The following is a 22,476-nucleotide window of genomic DNA, read 5'->3' as shown; positions in this document are numbered from 1 at the left end:
TGGCAGCAGCAACAACCATAGTTGCAAAGCTCAGGCTAAGCTTTGGGACTCAAATGTCTCAGAGCAAGTGCACCACATCTGTGCAGAATGCAGCAGCCTCATCACACTGATAGCTCAAGAAGAGTTATGGGAGTGTCTGGCTACTGCTGCCAAGTCTCAGGATAAGGGAAAAACTGACCCAAGCTGTCAAGCAGAATCTAGATATAGAGCCAGACTATGTTCTCATGCAGTTTAACTAGTCGGAAGCCACAAAGTTCAGATTGATCATGTTGAGGGTTAAGGTGCTTCTTTAAACAACTCAGAGGACATAGAGAAGACAGTGATCTATAAGTAGGAAGCATGGTGGAAGTAAGTACAGGGTCTCATCACATACCGGCAGGGAGAATGATGCAAAAAACAAGTTTTCTGAAAAATCAACAACAATTCCAGTGTTGTATGCACTTTCCCTTTTATTTTTCAGCGTTACTGAAAATGTTAACCTTTTGTTTTGGTTGCTGACAATAAAGGGTTGTTCTCTGTTAAAAGTAAAAAGGAGGGGGGAAAAGCCATTACTGTTAAATAAAAAGGCCAGTATTTTAAAATTTCACTCATTAAAAAACTAAACTCTTTAGACTTACTTAGAATACTGAGAAAATTGCTGTGTAATAAACTATCTTTGCATCAAAATGATACTGACAACAAATAAGTAAATGCAATTGGATTGTTCTTTGTTGCTATTGTATTAGAGGGAATGGAACCATTTAAATACAGATAATTTTATATTTCTTATTGTTTTACTCCTATGTGGATGGTAGACATTGAAATTTAGTTTTTAAAGGTATTTATGAGTTATGAATGTTTCTTTTGTAGAAAAACTCTATAAACATTCGTTTGAATAAAGTAATCTAGTATGTCTTTTATTTCTACATTTTACAACAAGCTTTAAAGTAAAACTTACTGAGCAGCTGGTATTTGTCGGACATCTAGGACTAGATCAGAAATGCAAAGTCCGTCCTCACCACAGTCTTTGTGGAAAGGAATCTACGAAAAAGGAAAAAAGATCCATACATTTGCTCTTGGGTTGAAAAAGCAAATTACAGAAGAATACATAGAATATTATTCTATTTACATAAAGTACAAAACCAAACAATGTTCTAGGAATATATAAATGTTTAACAAAATAATAAAGAAAAGCATTAATAAACACACAATTCAAGATAATCATTTGCACAGGGGGAGCTAGATGAAAGTGTCTATGGCGGGGACAGCTATACGCAGAGCTTCATATGTATTGGTAATATTTTTTGAGTATGAGCACAAGGCATTTACTTTATTTTTATTTATTTATTCAACAAATATATATTGAACACATACAATGGGCCAGGCCCTGCTCTAGGGAGTGGAAACACAGCAGTGAACAAGAAAGACAAAAATCCCTGCTGTCATGGAACTTAAGTGTTAGTGAACTTTATGCATATGTAATTGTAGTTCATTTAGAAAATTAAGAATTTTCAGGCTGCATCCTAACCATCCTTCAGACACTATTGCAGTGACTGTGGAACTTTATTTGCCAGTCTAAATCCAGGAAGTGTAAGCTGCACTTACACTGAAGACCTTGGCAGTCTCAGAATAGGCTTCAAGGGCAGGGCTAGTGCCAGGGTTTTCCAGACTGATGTCCACACGCAAATCCAAAGAGTTGACAACATCAGAGGGCTCCTAAACATACACACACACAAACATACAGGGGGAGACAGAGTCAGTTTATTAGAGCATAGCAACATTAAAACAAGAAAATGATTCCAAATGTGTTTACAATTTAGAGCACAGTCAGCTCTCAATTATGTAGAATATCTTTGTTGTGAATAATCAAGACTCTCGCTTCTTTTCTTCCATCCTAATTCTGCTTTTAGCCTCTCTTCTACTAAGAAACCAAAAGAGACTTGGGTCTAGTAAGAATTTGAAGCAGGGATTCTTAGTTAAGCTCATCAGTTCTTGTCAAAAAAGCACTATGTCTATACAAATGAAACCCTAACATTTGAATTTGCCTTTTCCTCAGAAGCGGTATCTTGGTATTCTTTAGTCCATTCACAGGCAGGACTTACTCTTAACTCTTGGGGGCCTCCCAGAAGTCCTCCCAGAAGGACTTATTCCTTCTGGGGGCCTGTCTACCATGACAGCTCTGGACTATGAGGAGATGTTTCCTTGGCTGGCTGCGGGCTTAGCAAGTAGGATGTACTTTAACTGGCATTGATATCAAATAGTGAAAAAGGATTTTGTTTTTTTAAACTTTAAAGAAAAACAGCTTGGCTGTCTCCATTTCCTCACTAGGGATTGCATGTATAATCTGATCCACCAGTCAGCACAGGATGGGAGAGAAGGGAAATAAGATTTTTTCCTTTAAGGAATCTATAAAATTGTCACTTTAACAAAAAAGAAGTCTACGTCTTCACAAACAAGAAACCTTCAAATTGAAAAATGAACTAAACAACTCAACTGATTTTAATTCATCTAACCGTCAACTTTATGTTTTTCTAGTGTTTACACTTAGCATTTCTTGAAGTAAGATCTCTCTGTACCATCCATTTACATCAGAAATATTTGGGTTGCTCCTTAGATCTGCATATTCCTTGGGCCTTCAAACCTAGATTTCTGATGGTAAGAACCCAGAATATACATTTCCCAAAAGTTTCCCTGGCAGTTCTTTCGCACCTTAAATTCTGAGAACTGTATTCTAAGAAAGTACTTAAATATCCTTTTAAAAAAGTGATTTCCTGAGTAAATTATCCTTTCAAATGCCATTATGTGGTTTCCAAGGTGGAAATATTCACATCATTTATAAAATAAATTTCCGGCTGGAAGTTTTCTCCTGAAAAGCATTTTTCTCACTTGGGAAATTTTCAAAATCCATGTTAAATACAGTAATTACAGCATACGATTAGAACAAATAATTGTTATCTCATAATCTACTATATTTCATCTATGTTAACTTAAATCTAATAGTAGAAACCACAATTGGAGTTATTTTTCAGTAGCTGAACAATAAATAAAATTTTTCCCTGATAGGAAAATATCAAAATAACATTTATTGCCAATGGAAAGTTCTCTCTGTTAAACATTTAAGAAAACACTGTATCTATGATTTCTTTAAGAATTGTATTTTTAGCCCTTTCATTGCAATTCTAAATGAAATTTGATGTTGCTGACTTATATAATAGATTGTGACCATAAATATTAGCATAAAGTAAATATGCTTCTTATTTATGGAATTACATAAGAAAGGCATTCATTGGAAGGGTGAGCATTTTCTAACTCATAAGCTTCCATTTTTGACTTTTACCACTCTCTCGTCTTTAGGAAGAAATAAAGTCAAAAGGGATGTTCCTGAGGCCTTACCTGTATATAAATGATGTGCTCGGGGCAACTCTGTGCTTGATTTACTACCATATTCTTCTGCAGGCACCTTTCATTGTTTTCTTTAAATAACCCCCTGGAGGTTACTCTGGATGAAAATCCATCTGCATCAAGTGTGATGTTATATACAATGGCTATGATAAAAAAAATCATAAAGAAATGTTATTTCAAATCAACTTATAGGAAAAAGCATCTTTGCTTTATTGTGTCTTCTTGGACAAAGTATCTCACATCAAGAAAATATGGAAATAGTCTTCATATTGGTGGCTTGTGAACCATAGCTAGCACCACAAAGCATTTGTCATTCTAGCTCTGATGTGACGTAGGTGACTGTGCATACAAAGAAATGTGATTCAGAGAAATGTGGCTGGGAGCAGTGGAAAGGAAACTAGACTTGCCGCCAGGAAACCTACTGTGATGAACCTGGGCAAATTGCTCACTCCCACAAGCACGGGTTTCATTACTCATAACACGGAGACACAGAATGGAAAGGAACAGTTGCTGAGCGCCTGCAACTGGACACATTCTCATGTATGCCATACAAGTTTTACAATGAATCTGGAAAGTGAATTTTATTATCTTATTTTTCAAATAATGTACTAGAATAAGTGATGTAAAATAATTCACCTAAGTTCACATGGCTAGTCAGAAGTAAAAGTTGGGTATTTTTGAAATAAGAGCTCATATTCTTTCTGCTTCCATCCAGTTGTAAGAATTAATTGTTATTGTGAAGATTAACTGAGATACTCTAAGGGAACATGGACAGTGCTTGACCTATTCTAGATGCTCACATAGGGAAATGCATGCAACACTGCAGCAATAAAGTCTCAGTCAGGCAGACTTGGTTTGAATCCTAATTCTGCTGTTTATGAGCTCTGTGACTTGGGGCAATTTACTTACCCTCTTTGAACCTCTGTTTCCTAATACCAACTCATGAAAAAAAATTATGTGATAATAACTGATGTCAGTAGCCGATGTCTAAACTATCAGAATTATTACCTTCAACTAAAGTCCACTGGCCGTGTGTCCAAAATTGAGAGAGAACACCTGGTGCCATTCACAGCATCAGCTGCCTTATTGCCTTATTTGGGGTTATTCTATCTTACTTTATTATTTTCAATATTTTAAAGGTTGTATATACTTCCCAAAACATGAATTCTACATGTTACCTTGAAAAAAATCTATCATATATGTTGTACAATTTTTCTTGCTCCAGTGACTTAACAATGCCAACAAAGATAGATAAAATATTAAAGAATTAAATAAACTAAAAATAAGTTGTGAAGATGATGTAAAGGAAAAACAATGGCAAGGAGGTGAGTGCAGTTAGGACAAAGTTAGTCCACATTATAATGCTTTTCCTTTTTTTTTCAAGCAGCTTTATAAAAATGATACATCGCTTCATGGGCTATGTTATTAATCTTAAAGTGAAGTGTGCACCTGATGCAATAAATGATAGAAACCATATGCTTTATAAATTCACTTTCCACAGTTGTGAAGATGGGATTCACGTCTTACATACTATTATTGCCAAGCAATGAAGTGACAAATGAGCTCACAATCATTTCACTTGGCTTGTCTTTGTGGACCTGAAGGCATCAGGAAAAAAGATTTAAAGGGAAAGATGCCCAATAGTAAGAAAGGCCAGAAACCCTCGGCAGCCTGTGGATGGGAAGGAAATTCTCTGAAAGTAGAATTTTTGAGTGTGCATCACCATAAGGGTTGAAGTATAGTCAAAAAGGGAAGATACATGAGACACCTCTATGCTTCGGGGCCAGAAGAGCTGACCAGTTTGCTGTTTCTGCCAAATAATATATTTCCCAAGTTAACCTATTAGGCAGACTAGCCACAATGTTTATGCAGCAACGGTTTTTGACTTAACTATCATGTGTGCTCAGTTAGATGTGCTACATGGCAGGTCAAGTGACATATGCTACTCAAAATTGGGTCAATCTTTGAACATCTGCATGGAAAACTTCCAAATGGATATGAAAAGTAGGAAAATATGGAAAGCATGTTAAGATTTGAATCTAATTTTGCTTTGTGTTCTCATCTTATTTGTATCTTGGTATGAATTATGGCAAATAACCTGCTTCTGTATTTTCAGCTTTAAGTTAATATGTTTGTCACTTAATTGAATTCCTATAGGAACTACAAGTTCTGAAGTTTAAAGCCAAATTCTGACGGAATGGGAATTGGGACCCATGAAGCAGCAGTTAATGAAAGAAGGTAGCTTTGAATCAAGTGTTAAATTGCAAGCTATGCATTGAGCATGGTGAGATAATTGGGGCAGAAGAGATGAAGGTGAGATAGTGTGCTTAGAAAAAGCTTTGAAGAGGAGGCAGGACCTCTGCCAGGCCTTGAAAGACAACTTGGCCAGCCCAAGAGAAAAGACAACAATTCCTGCTGATGCTTGCCCACAATGATTTCCTCATCCTTCCCCATCTGATGAGACATAATTCAGACTTTTACTCATTTCTCTGTATTATTTAGAACATTTAAAACACTGGGTAAAAGTTATATATTGCTTTTCATGTTTTCTTTCATTATTTCATGTTTATTAATTCCTCAACGACAGGAAAAATACTTGATACTTTTACTGAACCTGTCCTATATAGATCATGGCATAGCCAACATGATATAGTCATTTGAGTGGCAGTTCAGCATAATCTGTGTATGCTCAAGGTTTTAAGTAAGAGAAATGGAGGTAAGAGAAACTCAAAGGATGGAAGCAGGAGGGCCCTTGGTTATGTCATAGAGATTACAACTTTCTGCAGCAGAACCTTCTAGAGATGTGGAAGGAAGATCTAAACAAATCTTCCATGACTAGTGAACCATTCTCGGGCATCTCCAGTGTAAGGAAACTTAAGTGTCTATAACTAAAACCCTTATTTCTCTTGGCCTACAAACCAAAATATGTTATATTCAGGACTAAAACTCTGTAAGCCAACCAATTTCTATACAGATTATTTCAGATCTACGCACCCACTTGATTGTTTTGCTTAGTAGGTCTGAACTTTGCACTGAAGCAGAGTTTGAGAATTATCTGAGCATTCTTGTTGACCAAAGTGATTTTTTCTGGTGTGAATGAAGCTTCTATAGCTACATCAGCAATACTTTGTGACCTAAAAGACATAAAGAGTAACAGATGGATGGATGTTATTACTGAGCACACGTATTATATCCTTTATCATAGAGGACCCAGTACCAGCATTACTGAATTTTTCTCTCTACTCTCTATCAAAGCACTTTAGCAGTAGTATATATTTGAAAGCTCTAAGATGGCAGACAGAGATAATTTTTTTTTTAATTTGTGACTGCATCACTAACACAATACATGTTTAACATATTAGTTATTTATTATACTTTAGGTTCTGGGATATGTGTATTTACTCTTGATATGCTACTCTGAAATGATTTTAACTGATTTATTCAGTAAATATATTTTCTTGTTTTTTTAAAGTCTTAAGTATTATTCTTGAGTTTTATTTTTTCCACATAAAAGTTTCATTCTGCAATAAAAATAATGTACTTCATTCTTTAAAAGCACAAGTGAGATTTGTAAATAGTATCATTAAACTCAGAAATAAAAAATAATCAATGAATATTATTTTTCTGTTCTTCAAATATTTGTACATTTAAAGCACATTTTTTGACAGAGACAAATGAATGGAGATTCTTGATTGAATAAACAACTTCTTTCTGATTCTATTCCCTTGCCGGCCCAATATACTTATTTTTGACCTTGAATCACATGACCTTCACACTGTTCTCTCTGAATCTTCAACTCCTGTGGAGGTCAATGAGAGGTCAGCTAAACCTAAATAATGGCTTATTGTTTATGACTAATAATTTTAAAATATACCATTCAGTCACATAGAAGTTACACTTTACTTGTGTGGTCTGAATTTTCAGTATTTTTGAATGCACTCTCATGAGGTTTCCCTTCTGTATGCTGAGATAAGGCTATTTATAGGAAGATAACATTCAGAAATAGCCTGGATACCATTTCCAGAACTTTATGTTTTCTATGTACTGTTTTACTCACCATATGAGGAGAGAACTATATTTCTAATGGTAAGCAAATATATCTATTTTTCCTACTTGGAAAAACACATTTATTCCTTTGTGCAAACTATGATACATCGATTCCCTATAGTCTTATAGAATGCATGTGGCATTTCTATAATACCAGTACAGACATCTGTTCTGCTTTCTTAGCAGGTAATTTTTAGTTAGTTTGTGTCTGGCTCTTCCTGACTCACCAGAGTTGAACCACTTGTCCAAAGGCACCAATAGACACATCGGTGATGGAATCCCCATTTAAATCTCCATAGCCATCCAAGGACCTCCCAAAGTACTGGAGATGGCTCCTAAAGGCTCCATCGGATCCCAAGATTTTCTAAAAGAGCAGGTTTGACACGAAATTATAGTACACAACAGCTGAACCAGAAAATGGCAGCCTCTGAATTTCATTATTATATTTTCTATATAGTAATGTCCCAGATTGTGTTTATTCTCTACAAATTCTAAAGATTCATTTTTTAATCACATCTTATTATCTGATCTCTGCATCACTCTTACAGCCACATTTTCATCGAAGGGACAGCATAAATCTTTAATAAAAAATCATAAACCAGTGAAAAGATCAGTGGACTTGGAGCAAATTGATGCAAGTTCAGGTACAGGGTTAATTTCCTAGTTCTTTTCCTTCCAGTCTTACTCCAAAATTGGCTGCTCAGTGAGGCCTCATTAGTCACCCCTTCAACCACCTGATACTCCTATTGCTGAAATTTTATTTCCTATTTTAGTTTCATTTGCTTTTTTAAAAATTCCTTTATTACTATCTGGAATACTTTATCTTATCTACTTCTTTCTTTTTATTTGTCTCCTCCAATATAATATAAGGCACACAAAGATCAGAATTGTGTCTGTCCTGTTCTTATAGCATCCCCAGACTCTAGAACAGTGCTTGGGCACACAGTAGAGGCTCACTTTATATTTGCTGAGTGAAAGAATGAAGTTACAAAATAAGGCGGACGGATTGCATGGTTTACATGACGCTTTCTATGTCTAATATGATAAGACCCACAAATACATACATCACCATAACAGCTCATGGATTACCTGGGAATACTTTGTGCGGATAGTGCCCTGATGACCATTGTAAATGTATACAGCTCCAGAATTCTGATTTTCTAGTGGTGAACCAACAATCACATCATTAAAGCCATCCATGTTGATGTCTGAAAGAGCTGCAATTGCTGAACCAAATCGAGTGTTTTCAATGCCCTCGGGGCCTTCAAGAAATTGGTGCTGACCCAAAATGCCCTTGCAAAGGGGAAACAAAAGGATGATTAAAGCAAACCTTACAACTTGTATAATTAAAATTCAGAGCAGCTGGGTGTGGTGGCTCATGCCTGTAATCCCAAAGACTCCAGAGGCTGAGGCAGAAGGACTACTTGAAGCCAGGTATTTGAGACCTGCTTGAGCAATAGTGAGACCTTGTCTCTATAAAACATTTTTGTAAAAAGTTAGCCAGGAGTGGTGGCACACAGCTGTAGTCCTAGCTCTCAGGAGGCTGAAGTGGGAGGATTGCTTGAGCCTAGGAATTAGAGGCTGCAGTGAGCTATGATCACACCAGTGCACTACAGCCTGGGTGACAGAGCAAGTCCCCATCTATTTAAAAAAGTGAAAGAAATATGATAAAATAAAAAAGAAAATAAAATTCAGAGCAATCGATGACCAAACTAATTTTTTAATATTAAAAATGGATAGAATTTTAAACCTGAACTATTTATGATCAGAATTATAAATAAGAATTTCAGTAAGGTCATAAATATCTGCTCATAAACCAAGGTCAAAGGAGATAATTCTCTTTACTGTAGCTGAACAGCATCCATTTCTTGGTCTCATTTTCCTCTCAATAATACGATCTTCATCTATTTCCAACCTTTTGATTTAAAATTTTTCTGGTGAAAATTACTAATATCTTGAATGAAATTAAAGCAGACACAGAACAAAATAAAACACAATATCTTAATTTAGGCTTTCTGTAAAAATTACCAAATAGTGACATAATTATAGTGGTACAGGAAGTAGAAAATGAGATTGTTAATATCTCCATTATTAAAAACATTAAATAATTCTGTGCAAAGGAAAAGACGTTTCCTTGTAAAACACAGTTTTTTTCTTCAATTTTATGATCAAGTATGGAAATATTTCATGACTTCACAAGAAAGCAATGTTTCTCAACCATGAAACTGGGTCAGTGTTCTTTCTCCTCTAATATAATCTTATACAAATTTTTACTGCGTTTGACACGGTATTAAAAGATCTGTTCATTTTCAACAATTAATGATAATTCAGTATATCTCACAAGTAAGAAATATTTAAAGAAGGGGGGATTTGTCAGTTTTTCAACAAGTAACTAGGTCCAGCCTTTGTTGATACTCAATTACACATTCTTTATATGTATAATTGCTTTAGAATTGTTTTAATTAATTACTTCTGTTAAAAGATTAATTTTTACATAAATATCAATAAATCAGGTGGTACAAAATATCACAATACTTAAACATAGTATTTACTATTTTAACATCAGCTTCTCCTTTTCTTATATACTAAGGAGCATATAATTTTCTATGTCAATCTGTGCCTTTAATTTGGTTTTCTTTTTTTATTTCATGGAGTTCACTACACTTATATACATGGATTTAGAGAGTTCAGTCCACAAATTGGAAAAATTATGCTTTGCCATGTTAATGTATGGTGTTTTTTTGTGGAAGGACTTGAAACTTCAAGAGTTGGATACATGCCTAAATGTTACACTAAGCAATGACACTTCCTGACAAACTAATGTAGGAAGCATCTGAGATCACAAGGAATTTACAAAGTGCTTGGTAAAACTTCTGTTTTTCACTGTCAACTGATAACAAGAAAGCATTGCCCTGTTATTGTTGTCTTTATCGCAAAAAATTACATGTGATACTAGAGAAATACACAAATGTTTGTGTGTGTGCATATTTCAATAAACGATGTGCACTTATAATGGCTTTATTTGCATAAGAGACTATATATTCAAAGACCTCTCATGGAAAATGGCAGTACACTATACATTCAACTCTAGTTTTTCCTGTTAATGTGATTTTTAAAATCATAACTTAATGGGGACATCCTCAAAAATGATGAAATGTAAACCATACTATCTGTGCAAATTATCATTCAATAATAATAAATTTTTCTTTCCAAATGCAAGTTAAATTACCAGTACTAAAGCAAATTAAACTATTAGTTTATTTTTTTTTTTTTACCTCTTTGATAGTAAACAGGTAGACTCTTCCTTCCTCTTTCTTTAGGTCACTCATGTACATTGGTGCACCTACCAAGAGCACGTCTGTAATGGTGTCTTTATCCACATCAACTGAACACAGCACACTACCAAAATAGGAGCCAATCTGGAGTAATAAAACATGTTAAACTTAGAATTCCTAGGATTCATATACTTCTAATATTACACTGAACATTTACTTGCTCATTCAATACACAAAAATTGAGTGTTTACTATTTGCAAAGTGCTTGGAACATGAAGACAGAGAGCACAGTTCCTTCCCTCAGGTTCTAACACCATCTAACACCTGGTTCTTAAATCTTAGTGTGCACAAGAATCTCCAAGAAAATGCCTTTGAAATACAGATCCCTGAGACCCATTTCTAGAGATTCTGAAGTAATGTCTAGGATGTGATCCAGAACACAGCAATTTAAATTAGCATTCCAGGTGTTTCTGATGCCAGGGGGTCAAAGACATACTTATAAGGCAAACCTTTTGTAGGTATGTGAGGTTTGTCATAGCAAAAGGCAGGAGGGGTAGAGGCAGGGAGAATAAATAATTAAGCTTCTATAGTAAAATAAATTGTAATAGAGGCAAGTCCCAAAGGCTGAGTGATCAGAGAGCAGGAGAGTCAGGAAGGCTTAGAAAGTTAAAATATCATTCAAATTGCAAAGTAAGAAGGACATGGAGTTTTCTAGGCAGAGGGAAGTGGGAAAGCACATATGATGATGTAAGTGTACATGGCATGATATGAGACAGGTAAGTAGTTGCTGGATAGATTGGGACAGGAGGACAAGGTGGAGATAAATTAAAATAAGAAAAGCTGAGACTTTGAACCTTCATCCCATTCAACAACGTTCAATGCATGCCTATGTGAACACTTTTTGAGGATTTAGAAATGACTAAGAAATGATTCCTTCCATAACACTGTCACTGTTATTTTCTAAATTAAAGAAGAACTTCTTTAAAATATTAAAAAAGAGAGAAAAGTATGTGACCATAGCTAATTTGTGGTCACGGAAGTCAAGAACTCGGGTCTTCTTACTCCTAGAAAATCCATAGGAACAGCAGGATCACACTTAATCTCAGAGAAGAGAAATCTTTGTAAGTTTCTCCAGCTTAAAGAAGGAAACCACTTTTTGTTGGTTGTCAGGGATTAGTGATGCTCATTTTAAATGTGTGTCAAGCCCCTGGGTCAAAACTGTTTAGTAAGGAAACAGGAAGCAATCAGCTGGCCTTTGCTCTAGCAACAGATCTTTGCTGTAGTGGGCCATATCTGGGATTCATCATAGGGTCTAACTACCAAACTGTCACCCATCAGCTGAAAGTGGCAGAGAAGATAATTGTTTTACTTTTAGAATCTTCAAAACCAACAGGACATTCTGACAGGTTCAGATGTAAAAGTTCAGTCCTTATAATGTTGTGCTGCTCCCTTCTTCTCATTATTTCCTCTCCAAATCCTTGTTCCTAGTGTGTGCTTACCTACAAAGCAGTGGTTACATGCCTGCCATCACAACTAAATAATATCCATGCATTATTAATCCAGGGAGTCAAAAACATGAAGGGGATGTAATCATTCAGGACAGCCTCTGAGTCCAGAAAGGACTGAGTTTTAATGACAGCTCAATCCATGGACGCTGTGTGACCTTAGAAAGCTAGCTAAATTCCCAGTAAGTTGTCAAAAGGGAGGGCTGTCTTCTTGGTATTGTTGTGATGATTTAAGGAATACACTAAGTAAACTCAGATTACAGAGCCAATCACAGAGTAGGCACTCAGGCCATGTTGTTTTCCATTTCTGTTCACCTGACTCCCCACCTGCCCAGTTGCCCCTAAAATTAATTTCACCTGCTAAACAGTGAGATTTACCTGGTCACCTCGGTGAGCCTGAATAACCGTGATATTGCCATTCTCATTCACACTATATAGCACTATCTGGCCGGTATAATTTGCCCGAGGAGCACCAGCAACAAAGTGAGTGCTTTCTCCAGTAGAAATTGCAGCCACAGAGTAACCTAAAAGGGAAGGAGCAACAGAGTGATTAACATTGACTATCTGAGCAAAATAAAGTTAAAAGAAGTGAGTAAAGGTGACCAGAGATCCTTTTGTGTTAGATGTGATGCAAAGTTTCTAGTGCTCCTGAATACATCACTGAGGACATGTCTTCCTTTTTCTAAGATGAATTGCTCCTGTCCTTTGACCTGCAGCACTTCCCTTTGCAGGTGGGACTTCTACCTATAAAACTGCCTCTAGATTCCACGCTGTTCTCATCAGCCACCTGTGAACCTGGCATTCAAAAAATATTTCTTGAACGAATGAATAAATGTATTTAAAAGGTAGTGTTGCACAGTAGAAAGAACACAGGTCTTGGAAACAGGCTGAGGTTCAGATTCTGGATTTGCCGCTTACTAGGTTGTTGAACGTTAGACAAGTTGTTAATCTTGCTATCTCTCAAAGGCAAAACATCCCTGAAAGACTTGTTGGAAAGATTTAAATGTTTATGTAGATAGACTAGCAGCTCAGGAACTGTCCCATAGTAAGTCTGCAAAATCAGTGGCTGCTTATTATAAGAACAAGAAGACTAAGAGCTCTAAAATACTATAAGACTATCACTTACTGTATTGACTTTTGGGAACTATTTCCATTTTGGAGGAACACAATCATGTTCCAGGAATTACAACCACTTGACCAGCCAGAAGAAACTAGTGAGTATAATATAGTATTCCAATAAGTAGTTATGCCTTAAGGCCCGATTGGCAAAGAGACAACATATGTATGTGTAATAAATATGATAATTAGATGACAGTTCAAGGATTTTGCTGAACTCACCCTGAGATTCAACAAAGAGCTGGTTTAAAGCAAGGGAACTTAAGTTTGCTGAGCCAATTATTACCATGCCTTACCTAAATATGAACTGTGATTTCTGTCCTGCAGAATTTGGTCAAAGGCTTGTTTAGGAAAGATCAAATGGCCATGAGATGTCTTCTGGACAATGGTCCCACTCCAGCCAAAAGCTCCCACTGCACCCAGCATCAGAATATCCTAAAATAATTGAAAAATGAAGATCATTGAAACAAATCACCTTTAAAACATAAGAATGCAGGGTAGGCAAAACATTGAAATAAGTTGTTTAGATTTATTAAAAATGATGAAATATATATGAACATATATTGACATATTGTAGAATTGTCTTAATATATTTGTGCTAGAGAACAAGCCTTCCCATTGGCTGTGTTATTTTGGACTTTATTTAGTATGATATGTTATACAGACAAACCTTTGTAATAACCTGTAGTACAGGACAGGTACAGAGCCATCTTCAAATTTCCCTTTCAAAGGCATATATTTGCCAATGGTAAACCCTTATGAACTTTACAAAGGAGTCAGAAGTGAGTCTCTCACTCCACATATTTATAAGGAAAGCTCACAGCCGGATATGAGACATGCTTGAGAAACAGAAGTACTGACACGGGAGAGACGGAGATACTTCTGCTATCCCAGACACGGCTCGGGAGGCCCTCTTCTGACCTGTTCTACTTTCAGCTTTCTTCCTCTCTCTTCCTGACCCCTTCTCAAATGTTCCAGTATATTCCTATATTCCATCTATTTGATAATAGCACAGCTACAAGAGGCAACTTTAGCTGTGACATTCAATCTATTGGAAGGAAAATAACCATTTGTCAGCCCTGTGGGGAGGGCAAAGGAAGATGCCTACTCTGGATTGACTTGAAACCCAATCTAAACACTCAATGCTATAAATCATCAAACGAGGCAGATTTGGTGAGGATGAGATACACTATTTTTAATTTTTTGTTCTTCTATCTTAGAGCGTACCAAAGATAAGATGTTGGACTAAAAAATACAAGCCATGAAAAATAGCAAGTAAGGAAAAGATGTGTTCTACTTTGAGGATAAGAGACCATGAAGTTATGTGAATGACTGTAGTAAATTGAGGGACTCTGGATTTGGGGTGCATGAAAGGACTTCAGCGTATGTACAAAAACCTCATGGGATTGTGTGCAAAATTCTCCGTGCATAGATTCATTTACATTTTTTCTGAGGGAAAGATCCATAACTTCTATGAGCATCTCTAAGGATTGATGATCCAGAAAAAGTCAGTTCCTTTGATTCTAGATAGAAAACAAGCTGTTCTTGGTCCTCTGACCTGCCGATCAAATCCTGGGATTTCCTACTGTTCCTTAAATAATTCCCAGGATCTCTTTCTTTTTTTTTTCGCCTCCTTTCACTATCTCTCTCACCTCCTGACTCAAATTAGAATCAGGGGCCCAGGAGGTGGATGTTTCTGAGAGATAGAAATAGACTTCCCCGAGCTGAAAAGACAGTGTTGTATTCCAATTCCACCTCACGTTTTTCCTACCTCCTTATTTTTTCAACTCTTTTCTGTCTGCTCTTAGAAAAAGATACTATGACCATTCAGAATTCGACCATGACGGTGATGACAAGAGTACGTGTTTTTAACAAACATTTCCAGTAGTTAATTGATTCAAAGAAAATTCCTGCAGGAATAATACCTTAAGTTAATATACAGTCTGTGCCCTGGGGTACTCAAAGACTTTCTGGTATACTATCAGTTTTCCCCCATATAAGATCCCTGTGAAACAGGGAAGGGAAGACATTATTATCCTTCAAATTTTAGAGGTAAATCAGCAGCACAAAGAAACTAAATGACCGTGACTAGGAATCAGAAGGGCTGATCCCTAGATGGCTGTCTTCCCATTTTATGTATAAGGCTACTGTGTCTGGAAGTGTTATGCCAAATGACAACATGGCTTGAAGCTATCTGATATACGCACATTTTGAGAAGAGTAATCTGCACTGAATCCCACTTGTGACATTTCCATCTGAAAGTTGTCTCCTCCTTGAACAGTACCTGGAACATTCAATTTTAAAAATTGTATTACTGTCAGTAATTTTAAATCAAGTTTTCAAACACAAGCAGGCACGTATGTACACACATGCCTACAAACACAAACACAAACACACACTGTTCCAATACTCACCCAAAAATACAGAGCTTGCATATTCTGGGAAGAAGAAATTACTAAGAAAGTGTTCTAGCAGGTTATGGAAATAACAACACTTCCAAGGTAGTGTTCAAAGTTGGCATTAACTTTAATTGAACATTAATGTATTTAGCAGAATATGTATGACGTTCTTGATACCAAAGGACACTCAACAAAGGGTATAAGGTAAGGTGAAAACTGAGATGATAATTTTTTAAAAACTTGATCATTACTAGCTAAGAAACTAACTGAATTTTTAGCTTTGAAATATGGGTACTGATAATGTACACATATCTCAGATGCAGTTGGAAGGGCTGGGCAATTGATCTGTAGTGAAGACTGCTGGGAGATAACTGAGTTAGCTATTAGGAATCAGAATTCAAGACTGAGTAGGAATTTTACCAATTGGGAAGTTTGTTCTGGTTCTGTATATGTGCTTGCCTGTGTCACTAACACTGTAAGATGCAATTGGTACTTATTTTCCATACAGTGTGATCAAAATGGCTACGTTTCACTAATCTTCACAAAAGGAAGCTAAATTACTGGACTCACACTTTAATATAGAAAAGAAGACAAACTGTACTGTACAACATAGTCTTATTTAGAAGATAAAATAATTTACACAGGATGAGTAGAGATACTTTTTAATAAAATAGAATAATGTTCCCCAAAGTCCATAATAGCAAATAATGCTCAAAATCATTTCTAGCTAGCTTGTAGATTGCAATTGTTCTCATTCATTCCACTACAAACAAATACAATTATCAGTGTGGATAGCCTAGTGATTTTGTGTTATCTCAGGGTATGCTGGATTTAAATGGTTATTTAAACAACTTTGAAGCACCATGGGATACTGAAGAAGCAATAATGCTTTTTGGGTAATTCCAATGGATAATCAAATCAAGATTTGAGTATATGAATGAATAATTTATGCAATTCCTTTAGCCCCAGACTCTAAGGCTGTACCTGATACATAGGTTTCCAATAACATATGGTCTTTATTGCAAAGAGTTATTCGGGTTAACCATCAAGAACTAGGATTTGGGTGATGTGTGTTTTTTTTTTCTTTTAACCAACTGTGAAGTGTGTGCTAGTCCCCCACACAGTGAGCTCCTGAACACGTGATCTTTCTGCACTAACTAGATTTTCCAAGGCCACCTAAGTAAATTATTTTAGGTCCTATAAATAAAATGCTTCCTCAAAAACTGAACTATTAAAAATCTTTGCTGTATTTTTCTAATTTTAAAAATATATATGCTTACTGTAAACAAATTCAAGAATTTTAGAACTTACATAACACAGTGTAAAAAGGTAAAACTATTTATGATTCTAATAGATAGATATTCATACATTGTCCCCCAAAAGTCATAACAATTTATCATCCTATCAACAGTGTATGAGCTTCTTTGCTTCCTGATAATCTCTCCAGGATTAAACATTATTATTCTGTGTCATCTTTTAGGCAAAACATATTGTCGGTTTAATTTATGTTTTTAAATACTTACTGAAAGTATTTAGAAATATACTTTGTAAATTGGGAATATTTTCTTATGTTTATCAGTCATTTGTATTTTATCATTTATAAACTATTTATTCATGTTTTTCATCCATTTCTCTTACTGATTGTAGTAGCTCTTTTTATACATGGTATACAAGTTAACATTAGTAAAGCAAATATGTGATAATAAACAATTATTTAAACATTTTGAAGAAAATTCTTGAAAGGAGGTTATTTTTTTTACCTTCAATGCTGAAAATTTGTTCTCCTAATGTCCCAGCCTTTTCTAGTAGAGCTGCTTCATCAGACACATTGAAAAAGTATCTTTCTGTTGGAATACTAGCGATTGCTTTTATTTCTTTTATTAAATTTTTAGTATCAAGGGCGTTTCTGTTTAAGTACCCAAGAACCTTGAAAATAGAGGAAGAGAATGTGCAGTCATTACTGCTGTACATTTTCCCTATGAGTACATTCTAGCCTATTTTGAACACAATATTCCCTCTGGAAAAGTAAATCAAGCAACATTTCCATAACCCTTTATTTAGTAGACAGGATTGAAAATCATCAAGAAGCAGAGATAGAGTAAGAACTTTCTTTTATATTCAACTATGAACAGCCAATGGGAAAGTGCAGCCTTGAGAAGTGATGCTATAAAGAAAGATTTACCCAATAGCGGCAAGACAAGTGAAAAGAAAAGCCACTTACTGCTATGCCAAACCTCAGTATATTGTCATGGTTGCATTGATCAATCACAGCTTTCAACATTGAACCATCATGTGATTCACCGTCAGTTACAACTACCATTACTTTCGTAGCACTTCGTCGCCCACCAGAAGCTGCTGAATAAGCATATTTTCTGTGGCAGATAAAATTAAATAAAGACTTGCTATCAAAATATGAAGTTAATATGAGAACCTCTGGTTTAAAATAGAAACATGAAACTAGCTTCTTTAAACACAATCTATTGTAACTCCATATTAATTCTGAGGACATATTTAATGTTCCATTTGTAGCTTGTAGAGAAACATATACAAATGGAAGTCTTGCTTGACATTAAAAACAATGTCTTGTGTGTCAGGGCATATGTGTGTATATGTGTGCATGTATTTATCCCAGTATTCCTTAGAATTCTTTTCTTCTAAGAAAGTTGAATTAATCAGTATGAATTAATAAAGCAAAGATATTTCTGTTATAAATTTTATGCATTAGTCTTGTGTTTACTTTATCAATACTTATTTTTTTAAAAGTAATAGATATCCACAGTTAAAAAAAAATCAAAGTATTTGGAAAGGTATAAACCAAATGTGACACTAAACCCCTCTCCACAGGTAAGCACCATTATCAGTTTCTTGCATTTCCTTCTAGAAAATGTTTTATTTAGATGTAATATAGGTACAGGCATAGTCTACCCCTTAAACTTTTACTCAAATGAGGGCATATTCTTTTTTAAAAAATGTTTTATTTCCATAGGTTTTTGGGGAACAGGTGGTATTTGGTCATATAAATAAGTTCTTTAGTGGTGGTTTGTGAGATTTGCACCCATCACCTGAGCAGAATACACTGAATCCAATTTGTAGTCTTTTATCCCTCACCCGCTTCCCACCATTTCCCCCCTGAGTCCCCAGAGTCCACTGTATCATTCTTATGCCTTTGCATCAAATGAGGGCATATTCTAAACAGTTGTTTTTTACTTTGATGGAGACCTTTCCATATCAGCACATGTATATACATGAAGGTCTCATTCTTTTTTTAAATGTCTGCATAATATTTTATTTGGAGGACCATATGAAGGAAGACTGGTTTATTTAACCGGTTCCCCATTATTGGATGCTTAGGACATTTTGAGTTTTACAAGTAAGGCTGTAATAAATATCCCTGTGTATATATCTTGGCATACTTTTTCAAATGGGATAAAATCTTAGCAGTAAAATTATTGGGACACAGGATACACACAATTCAAATTTTAATAGATAGTATCAAATAAAGAAAAAAATCAGAGCATTCTATGTCTTGAATACTTTAAGAAGGCAGTCGGGAAAGTTAAATCTTTGATTTTAGGATGTTTATAAGATATTACATGATGTTTAAATGAATTTATATGAAGTAAATGAAATGAGAAGACCTTAGATTAAAACAGTAGGAAATGGGGCAATCTGTCATAATTTGTTAATATTCATCAGAGATTCAGACAAATTGAGCTCATGGATAACTTGGTGCAAATTAACAAAGGCCACAGAATCTTAAACATATGAGTTTCAGTTTATTATAAAACTGAGCATATCATTTTATTTCCTAAAATCTTTTTTGTATTCTATAATGTAGACTATAGAAACATAGAAAATATTCTGCATTTTTCGGCCAAATTTGAATTACACTATCCACATCAGATCCTTTCTGAGTGTCACATTCTCTTTATGATACACTGTAAATTTCATGTATGATTCTAAGGTTTTTGAGGACAGAAACTGTGTCTCATTTAGTTTTAATTACCCGCAGTGCTTAAAACAATAAACTGCAACTGTAGGCATTGAATGAAATGAGGTGAATGAAAACATGGCAACAATTACTGAAATAATTTCAGATTATCTTCAATGTTTTAAAGAAAGAGATGAGAGACAGACAGAGAGAGAGAGACAGGCAATTACATTCTAGGAGGGATGAGTAAAATGTTGGGTGATTCTCCTAGCACTGGGCAGACTAAAACCTGTTAGCTTGGGAAATAGTGGGAAGAGGGAGATAGACAATGGCCCAAGGGAGAAAACCAAAGTTTTGAAACATGATGAAAGCCAGGCAAGTCCTTCCTCAATGGACAGTGGCCATTGTCCTGGAGAACAAAGCTCGCCAGGGCCCCAGGCTCCTTCCAGGGAAAAATGCTACTCCCACCTTCCCTGCTGAAAACCGGGCCGTTGCAGTTTCTAACTCCAGGAAAGCCATTTTTCATCTCAACTTCTTTGTCCTTTTAGTCCAGTTTGCTGTGTCCAGAAAGGGCGCTTCACCTAATGGCAGCTGACCTATTGACTGGCCAGCAGCTTATGAGATGGCCTGGCCCAAAAAACCTTTATTGTCCCTGAATAGAGACAGTAATGATGAACCAAACCAATCATATCTTCTCTTGTGGGGAATCTGCTTTTGAGACATTTGGGATTGTCACCAGTTGACGGAAGTAGCAACTGAAATACACACACAGAAAAAGAAGACAGATAAAATGGGAAATGCAGAAATAGAAATGACAGGATGTGGCCACTGACCAGATGTGTGACATAAGGAAGAGTGGAAAGAATAAAGGAAACCAAATTTTTAGTTCGACTGACTAGGCAAGAGACAGTGGCATGAATCAAAATGGCAAGTTCATGAGGAGTGGTAGGGAAAAGAATAAGGCCAGTGTGGGACAGATTGAATTTGGTAAGTGAGCCAACACTCCAAATAAAAATATTCATCATCAGCTAGATGCCAGTGTGAGTTTTGGGAGAGAGTGTAGGGCTGACAACATAGCAATGAGATAACCCAACAGTGCTGCTGCTGATGCCATGACAGTGGATAGAATCCCTACAGGAGAAGAGCAGTAAAGAAGAGAGGGCTCTGTTTAGTGAAGAAAAAATAGGAAAAGGAGCTAGTGAAGAGGCAAAAGAATTTGGCAGGAGTTCGAGAAGTTTGTGGTGTCATGGCAACTTGGTTAGGAATAGCAGCGTATGTTCATCATTATCAAATGTTCAGAGGAGCCAGAAAGGATGAGGTTTAAGGTGGGACCACAGGGTTGGGGGATGAAGAGGGTCATGCTTATCTAGTGGCAGAACTGTAAGTTTCAAGGAAGTAGAGGGAGGGAATAGAGTTGCTTTTTTCAAAAAGAATTATGGTGGTAAAAAGAAGGAATGCACAAGACAAAGAGAGAGAATAGGTTTAAGGGAAGGCAAGCTTGTTGTTCTCATTAATTTGTTTAACAACCGGAGTGTGTTTAGCATTTTTGTGAAGGTATCTGGTTTGCAGGGACATGGATGGAGCTGGAAACCATCATTCTCAGCAAACTTACATAGGAACAGAAAACCAAACACTGCATGTTCTCACTCATAAGTGGGAGCTGAACAATGAGAGCACATTGAACAATGAGGACACAGGGAGGGGAACATCACACACTGGGGCCTGTCAAGGGGTGGGGGACTAGGAGAGGGATAGCATTAGGAGAAGTACCTAATGTAGATATGGGTTGATGGGTGCAGCAAATCACCATGGCATGTGTATACTATGTAATGAACCTGCACGTTCTGCACATGTATCCCAGAACTTAAAGTATAATAAAAATAAAATAAAAAATAGAGTGAAAAGAAAGGTCAGTGGATCTGAGAAAATAGAGAAATTGAGATAAGAATCAAGAGAGTCCTGTATAGTTATAATTTCACATTTCCCACTGATTGTAATAAGCATAATAAACTTAAACTCGTATGTTTAAGATTCTGTGGTCTTTGTTAATTTGCACCAAGTGATCCATGAGCTCAATTTGTCTGAATCTCTGATGAATATTAACAAATTATGACAGATTGCCCCATTTCCTACTGTTTTAATCTAAGGTCTTCTCATTTCATTTACTTCACATAAATTCATTTAAATATCATGTGATATCTTATAAATATCCTAAAATCAAAGATTTAACTTTCCCAGCTGCCTTCTCAAAGTATTCAAGACATAGAATGCTCTGATGTTTTTTTCTTTATTAGTTCTGATTTAAATTAGGTACCAGGTATATTATTTTTCTTTGTCTTTTCCTTACTTTTTCATATTTATTACATAAATATAATGTTTTACATTATGAAAACATTGGCCTATTAGCACCAAAACTTACCTTGCATATTGAATTGCTCCGAATGTGTTTGTGAGGTCCCCACCATATTGGGATGTCTGGGATGTTGCTACAATCATTTCTTCTTTGGTTTTATATGTGTTCAAGTTAAACACAACTCTTGGATTATTGGCATACTGAATTAACCCCACCTTCAACAGAGGAGACATTTATTAATGGGCTGTCATTACATTAAAAATAATTTCTACTTAACCAATAAAATAAAAATCAAAAGTACATTTAGACATGGGCCGGTAGCTTTAAGGCATCACTTCCAACTTTGTTCTTGATAGTTACTTTTCTTTCAATGGAATGATTTCTTCTCTGTTAGAGGCCATCAGTGTACAACAGCAGTACTATTGCCAAGAAAGATGATGTGCTACAGTGTATGATTTGATTCCCAAGA

The 22,476-nt window shown here is 35.8% G+C and overlaps 1 protein-coding gene across 6 annotated transcripts in view; it reads right to left on the bottom strand.

Moving 5' to 3' along the window:
- ITGA2 (integrin subunit alpha 2) overlaps positions 1 to 22,476 on the bottom strand; it is a 105,428-nt gene that overhangs the window by 21,147 nt on the left and 61,805 nt on the right. For 4 of the 6 annotated variants that reach the window (NR_073106.2, NR_073103.2, NR_073107.2 and 1 more), the window contains 14 exons: positions 22,074 to 22,222; positions 17,945 to 18,095; positions 17,484 to 17,649; positions 15,532 to 15,608; positions 13,621 to 13,759; positions 12,587 to 12,732; positions 10,704 to 10,847; positions 8,518 to 8,721; positions 7,656 to 7,792; positions 6,376 to 6,515; positions 3,373 to 3,524; positions 1,585 to 1,695; positions 938 to 1,020; positions 374 to 515 (listed from right to left, as the gene is read on the bottom strand). Coding sequence is in view for 1 of the 6 variants with exons in the window: in NM_002203.4 (NP_002194.2) it covers positions 374 to 515; positions 938 to 1,020; positions 1,585 to 1,695; positions 3,373 to 3,524; positions 6,376 to 6,515; positions 7,656 to 7,792; positions 8,518 to 8,721; positions 10,704 to 10,847; positions 12,587 to 12,732; positions 13,621 to 13,759; positions 15,532 to 15,608; positions 17,484 to 17,649; positions 17,945 to 18,095; positions 22,074 to 22,222 (1,941 nt within the window). In the remaining 5 variants the exon portion in view is untranslated. Of the gene's footprint in view, positions 1 to 373; positions 516 to 937; positions 1,021 to 1,584; positions 1,696 to 3,372; positions 3,525 to 6,375; positions 6,516 to 7,655; positions 7,834 to 8,517; positions 8,722 to 10,703; positions 10,848 to 12,586; positions 12,733 to 13,620; positions 13,760 to 15,531; positions 15,609 to 17,483; positions 17,650 to 17,944; positions 18,096 to 22,073; positions 22,223 to 22,476 lie in introns of all 6 variants that reach the window. The other 2 variants (NR_073105.2, NR_073104.2) reach the window with 2 other exon arrangements.

Source organism: Homo sapiens, chromosome 5 (assembly GCF_000001405.40).
Source record: "Homo sapiens chromosome 5, GRCh38.p14 Primary Assembly".
In the NCBI taxonomy this organism is placed as follows: domain Eukaryota; kingdom Metazoa; phylum Chordata; class Mammalia; order Primates; family Hominidae; genus Homo; species Homo sapiens.
The sequence above is the reverse complement of the archived record's forward strand: the minus strand, read 5'-3'. Positions and strand labels throughout refer to the sequence as shown.